Source organism: Homo sapiens, chromosome 18 (genome assembly GCF_000001405.40).
Source record: "Homo sapiens chromosome 18, GRCh38.p14 Primary Assembly".
Taxonomy (NCBI): Eukaryota; Metazoa; Chordata; class Mammalia; order Primates; family Hominidae; genus Homo; species Homo sapiens.
The window spans coordinates 75577954-75585069 of record NC_000018.10 but is presented as its reverse complement, the minus strand read 5'-3'; the positions used below and the strand labels follow the sequence as shown (position 1 = coordinate 75585069).

At 39.1% G+C, this 7116-nt stretch overlaps 2 annotated features.

The window, feature by feature from the left end:
* Positions 1362 to 1862: an enhancer, noted in NCBI's record as "H3K4me1 hESC enhancer chr18:73295163-73295663 (GRCh37/hg19 assembly coordinates)". NCBI's record gives its function as "activates a minimal SCP1, AML or CMV promoter by ChIP-STARR-seq in naive H9 embryonic stem cells {active_cell/tissue: H9 hESC(naive)}" and the evidence as "EXISTENCE:reporter gene assay evidence [ECO:0000049][PMID:30033119]".
* Positions 1863 to 2363: an enhancer, noted in NCBI's record as "H3K4me1 hESC enhancer chr18:73294662-73295162 (GRCh37/hg19 assembly coordinates)". NCBI's record gives its function as "activates a minimal SCP1, AML or CMV promoter by ChIP-STARR-seq in naive H9 embryonic stem cells {active_cell/tissue: H9 hESC(naive)}" and the evidence as "EXISTENCE:reporter gene assay evidence [ECO:0000049][PMID:30033119]".

Sequence of the window (7116 nt, the reverse complement as noted above, 5' to 3'; positions counted from 1 at the left end):
AAAGTATTTCAACTGCAGTAAGTGTCTGACCTTATAATTTAAAAATTGCATTCCAGTGTGAATGATGGCCTGAGTGCATGTTTTCCGTGACAGGTTAGCTTTTTTACCTCCTCCTCTCTCAACTGCCCGTGCCACCAAGGTGTCCATCCCAAAATAGGCCAGTGCCACCCAGTGAGCCATCGCCACGCCCATCTCCTGAACGAGGTTTGTCCTGGCTTTGCCACAAACCACTCCACAGAACTTCAGCTCAAGTTTGTTCTCATTCTCCTATCTGATAGCTTCATCCTTAGAAGCTCCTTTTCATTTTTGTCCCTTCTGTCTAGCTGCCAATGCTAGCAAGGATGTAGTGAAATTTAAATCTCTCAAAATTCTGAAAAGATGTGAGTTGGTTTCTTTCTGCAAATCAGTAAGATGGTGCAAGAGCTTTAAATGTGTTCATGATCTTAGGACCTAATAATCTTCCTCCTAAGAATCTCCATGCAAGAATCAAATGTCATGCAAAGCTGCTCATTTCAGAGTTCTATCTCTCCTGCGTCCTCATTCACTAGTGCAGAATCCAGTGCCTAAGAGGGCCTGTTACTGGGGGCATCCATGAGGAGCATCTGCCATTGGCTTGTGAACACACCAATCAATTATTGGTGCATATCCTCATTTATTCCTCTTCTCTTTGTCCTTCCTCAAGGTATTTCCAGGAATGAGGGTTGTCCCAGCATGACTCCCTTGAGTACTGAGGTTCCTCCAGGCATCATCATCACCTTGACCAGGGACTGTGCCCTAGTGGGGAGCAGCTGCTAGATGGGGGGACCTCATCCACAGTGTGGTGCTGAGCCCACTGCTGCCATTTCCACTGTGCATAACCACTTTTGTGCAAAAACCCTCAAGGGTGATGGAAGGGAGCCAGAGAAAGGTAGGGAAAATAATAATTCGGACTGACTTATATTCTACTCTACTGTCTGAGTCTCATAGAGCTATAGGAGGAAGCACCGCTACCTGGGCTCTATCCCATTGGTATTGCTCAAATATTGGTCTATGGAAGGCCAAGAGGAATGCCAGGAGAGGGAACTCCAGCAGCTCCTTCCTCCTCTCCAACAACGATGGCCTTGACATCCAGTGATGTGCTTGGTCCCTGGTGGAACTGGACTCTGTCTGGCCCATCCCACCACAGGATGGACACAGCTTATTGGAGGTCATCCCACATAGCTGTAATATCAGCCAAAGAAAGTGTGACAGAAAGTAGATTAAACCCATATGATGGAATAGCATTTATCCATTAATGGTACCTCTTTTTAATAATGACTTTAAAAGTTCCTGTTACATATTATGTGAGAAGATGATTCCGAATTATGTACCAAGTAAAATCTTACTTATTAAGAAATATATACATATATTCATATATTTATACGTAGAAAAATAAGCTAGGAAGATATACACCTTAACGTTAACAATCACTAAGTAGTGAAGTTAGGGGTGATTTTAATCATTCATTAACTTTCAAGAGCTTTTCAAGTGTTTTGTTTTTTCACTTCTTTAATAATATGCATACTTTTCTATTAAATAATAGGATGCTTAAGAAATGTCCAAACCTTTGTTCTCCTAATGCCAAATTACACAAGACTCTGAGAGGAGCCAACAGCGCATTTACCCATCTTCAGCCATCCCAGGGTGTCCCCCCCTCACCTACCCAGGACTGGAGCAGTGCAGAGACCCTCAAGCAGGGCGTGCCACCTGGGAAGCTCTCACCTCACCCACCCAGGACTGGAGCAGTGCAGGGGTCCCTGAGCAGGGCGTGCCACCTGGGAAGCTCTGGTCTTTGGTCTGTGCTCCTTGTGTGGTCTCCTAAGAGGCTCTCTGTGGCTCTCATGTTGAACCTAGGGTCCAGGAGCTGTTTGCAGGGCTGGGCCCAGCCTCCCTAAGCAAGTGGAGCCTCTGTGTCTTCGGGTCTTGCCACGTGCCCGGCACTGCCCTGGTGGGCCTGGCTGCCACGCAAGTTCATTCCCTCTGGATCTGAAGGGGCTTCCTTTCTATCACTTCCATCTCACGATCCCTGTACTCAGTTCCAAGTTCAGACTTTTTATGAAAGACAGAAAGCATCATGTCTTCCAGAACTCTCTGCTTTTGCCCTTGAGAAGGCCCTGGTTTAAGAAATTTAAAAGCAGTTTGTCAGGAACAGGAAAAGGACAAACACTGAGCAAAACAAACACAAATAAAAACCTCCTTAAACATTCCTGCCTCCTTTTTGTGATTATATTTTTTTAAATGTGTTTCTTGAGTCATATGAAGAGAAAATAAACTGCAAGAATTAGGAATTCAGAGTAAGATAGTTGGAAAGGAGTATGGTTGTGTCTATCCAGAGACACTGAAAGTTGTGGCTTACCCTAAACACGAGCTGGCAAAACCACATTTGTGTTTGAGTCAAAGTTTATTTTTCCGACTCAATATGGCAGCTGTACTTGCCATCAATCTTAGAAGATTAAGCTGACCAGCAATTTACATTTTTTAACCAAAGAAACCATTTTTCCTGGAGTGAATAATATGAAAATTATTTTGATCATTCTGTATCTTACATTCCTTTGGCATTTTCTGTTTGCTGTTGCGAGGTGGAGTATGATTTCAAATGTGCAAACTCTTCTACAGTGTGTATCATGAGCATTTGAACCACTAAAGTTTACCCACCATAATGAACCTTGAAGGACATTAGCTTTGGAAATAGTGCATTTTTATGTTTGAGGTTGCTGCGATGTACAGGGTCTGACAGAGCAAACACTCATTTGGGGATTCTTGTGGGCAACAGAAAAATCCCGAATTGCCAAACTTTATTTCCATTAAAATTGGGAGTTTGAAAGACTCTCCAAATGCAGGGGAATGAAAGAAAACTCAGAATAAAAAAAAGAACTTAAAGAACTTACCTATGAATTCTCATCCATCAGTCCTTTCAGAAAGATTTTATGCAGAAGGGAAAAATATATATATTTAAAGAAAGCTTAGATTCATTAGGAATGAAAAAGGAAAACATTATTCAAAGCTGCTGTAAAATATGCTAAGAATCCATTTGGCATTTCTGTAGGCTCTTGTCTTCCAAGCATCCGGAATTTGGGGGACATGTGGCCTATATTTTGCCTTCTCTCATGAGGATGGGCACTAAGCCGCGGTTTCTCAATTTGTCCTCATCAGTCATACATTGTTGGAGTGATGCTCCTCAGTCCCCATCCAGTCCTAAGCAAGAAGCCATGACTGAGAAACCCTCTGCTTTTCTTACTAGTCGCCAAATGACAAGCTTTCCCCCACTATCATCAATGTCACTACAACTAAGGGGCCTGTGTTCCCACCACAGGCTCCCTCCCAGTTTAAAGAGATTTGATCAGTGCCATTCGTTTGCATTCTGCTGAAAACACAGTAGAAGGTTTTGGCTCCAGTGCAAATGTATTAGGATTACTCTGAAAAACAAAAAAGTTTTAGATTAGTTAAGCCTGTATTGAATTAAGTCATAATAAAAGAACAGTCTCTTACGGGTTTAAACTGTGGCTTGGCCAACATTCTAGACAAACACACTCACGGTGGGTGTGGGGAGAGAAAGGGGGGATGGGGGAAATGAAAAGCCTTTCTTCTAAAAGGAAAGTCATTTTAGAATGTGGTAATCCTCAGTAATGAGGACAATACACTCTTTTGTTGCTTTTTAAAATAAATTTCATCGGCATTTTAATTTTTAAAAAATCTTTAGAAATGCACAGTAGTTCCATTTCATTTTTTGGGTACACCTTTCCAACATCCATGGGCCCTCAACTCAATAGATAAGGGCATTCATATATCTAAAAGTCTAAACCCCTAGGAAAATGTTTTCCATGCAAATTGTGAAACTGTGTCAATGAATTATTTTAAAAGGGAGTGATTAAACTAATACATTTTAAAGACACTAACTCAAGTTCTGACTTGAACCAACCAAAATGAAATTATTAGCCTTAAGATTCTCATGCTCTTAATCCCACTCAGCCAATCCACTTGTTTACTCTGTACATGACACAGACCTCCCTCAAGATAATAAGCGTGATAACAGTTGCCTCATTTGTATAGTATTCCACATATATATGTCATTTGATATCTAGGAAGAAGCTATAACATTAAGAAGACAGCTATTACTCCCATTTTTAATATGTAAAGAAATTAAACTCACTTTCATAAAACTGAACTATTCAAGGTCACATGACCGGTAAGGAAGCGTAAACCTGGATTTTTCTGACTCACAATCCCATTTTCAAAATTTTGAAAACCTCCACCATATATTATCATGGTTAAAATCTTAATCCAAAAGATAAGTTAAACTCACTTTGGAAGTCAGACCTGATTCTACTATATCCATCCATATATATATATATAGTATAGGTTAGTGCAAAACTAATTGCAGTTTTTGGCATTTAAAAGTAATATCTTTAAAATGTGTTTATTTAATTTAATCACTCTCTTTTAGAATAATTCATGGACATAGTTTCACAATATGCATGGAAAACATTTTCCTAGGGGGTTAGACTTTTAGATATATGAACTGCCCTCACTTAGTGAGTTGAGGGCCCATGGGATGTTGGAAAGATGTACCAAAGAGATGAAGTGGAACTACTGTGCATTTTTGAGGAATTTTTAAAACCTGAAATATCTATGAAATTTATTTTAAAAAGCAACAAATGATCATATTGTCCTCATTACCAAAGATTACCATGTATACTTTCTGATCGTCTGAGAACTGCCAGCCCTTCACTCCTCCCTGTTGGATCTTCTCACTTACTGGACTCCATGACCTCATTCTGGTCAGTGCTGGCCACTTTGGCCATATACACTAGTATATATACTATATATGCTATATATATACACACTATATATACTAGCATGTATACTACATATAATATATATTCCACTATAATATATAGTAGAATAGTGTGCATATATATATATACACACTATATATGTATATATTATGTATACATATATATGAGATTGTTCCTACAAAATACCAGCCCATCTTGCCTGATATGGAAGGCAATGTTTATCTTTCATTTTCCTTCCTACTCTCCTTTTAATACCTTTCTTCCATAGCTTTCTTCCCCATATTATGTACAAAATATTTGTGTGTATATGTATGTATGTGTGTGTATATATATATATCTGTGTGTATATATGTATGTATGTGTGTATATGTGTGTGTATGTATATGTATATTTAGAGTGAAATTAAAACCTTCTTCCCTCTGTCTTGGATTCTTCTGTAAATTCATTATCTGGCTAGCGGATGGTATAAAACTGAGCAACGCTGTCATGAACTGTCTTGTGACCCAGGGAAACTGCATGATCCACTTGATTGCTGGAAAATGCCAAGGAATATATGGGCTAAGCCTTTAGCCTTCTATGGAGAAAAAAAGAATTAAAATATATCTATAAGACATATAGGCTATGGATTTTTTAAAAATGAGACTGATTTTCCTCATTTAGACAGGAGAGGAATAGCTCTGAGAAATTAAAGATCTGACAGCACTCAGTACACATGGCAACTAACCATGAAAAGTAAGGGGAATTTCCAAAGTGATCATGAATAAAAATATCAATGATAATACCCTTTACGTTTTTGATCATACAATGGAGTGAAAGAGATTGTTAGGTAATAGGGAGAGCGATAATAAAAAGATTTATTTATAACTATTAGACACTCAGCAAAGAACATGTACATTACTTCCACTAAATCTTCATATAAACCCCAAGTCATATGCATTTGTCCATTTCACAGATGTGGAACTAAGGCTTACGTATTAATATGACTTTGCTAATGTCACAAAACTAATGACAGTAAGAGCATTTCTACCCAGTTCTGCCTAGTACCAGAGTCTATGTTTGAATCCTAATGCTCTGCTAATGCTTACAGCAGACCAGTGATGGAAGACTTGTGCAGATAATTTCACAATGCCAGAGCTTCTTTTCCCTACAATGTGTTTGTCTGTCTTCTATCTGTTTACCCATTATGTATTTATTTGCCTTAAATTTTGTCCTTACTTACAAAAATACCACAGAAAGATACAATAAATTAAGCTTCATTATGCCCTAGTATAAATTAATTTCTCAATAAGTTTTGTTTGGAGGAATGAGAGACAGAACTCCTGGGAGCCTGGGGGACTGACTGGAAGAACTGTAGAAGGGGAGGGAGTTAGGGAAGAATGGTAGGAAATCAAGGGGAAGGTAAACATTACCTTCCAGATTAGGCAAGATGGGCTGGTATTCCGTGAAAAAAAATCTGATTATCTCAGTAGCTTAACATTACAAATATTTTTTTCTTTTTTTAAAAATGTAAGTTTTCAATTGACACAGATTAATTGTACACATTTATGCAGTACAATGTTATGTTTGGGAATATGTCTACGTTGTTGAAAGATTAAATCAAGCTAATTATACCTATCACCTCACCCACTTTTAATTTTCTTCCTGATGAGAATATTTTAAATCTACTATTTTAGCAATTTTAAAATAGATAATAAACTACTATAAACTATGGTCACCATGCTGTGCAATAGACCACTAAAATTTATTCCTCTCTTCTAACTGAAACTTGGAACCTTTGACCCACATCTCAACACTTTTTTTCTTATTCCCACTGTATCCTCACTTTAGCTAAAGGTGGCGCTGAGCTCAGCATGGTCCCTGCTTTGGGTTCCAGGTTGACAATGTTGCCACAATCTCCCACATTTCCAGCTGCCATGGCAGAGGGAAAGAGAGCTCTAGGGGGTCTCCCACAGGCCACCAAATGCTCCAACCCAAAAGTGACACACAGCATTCTGCTCCCAATTCACTGACCAGAACTTAGGGGTGAGGACGAACCTCAGGTAGGGACAGAAGGTGCAAATCTATGGCATGAACACAAGGTGAGAGGCCAGAACAATGTCGTGGCAATGCCAGTGAAGATTCGCTCACTGCGTATTTCTCAGTATTTGCCTACCTTCCACAGGGCGTGGATTTGGCTCTGCTCACACTTAGGAGAGCATCTTTCCTCCCAATGTATTTCAGTTCATTGCCCCATTTGCTGTTCACATTACTTTCTGAAACTGTTATTTTTCAGAAGATCAACTTCTCTTCCATCACACACATA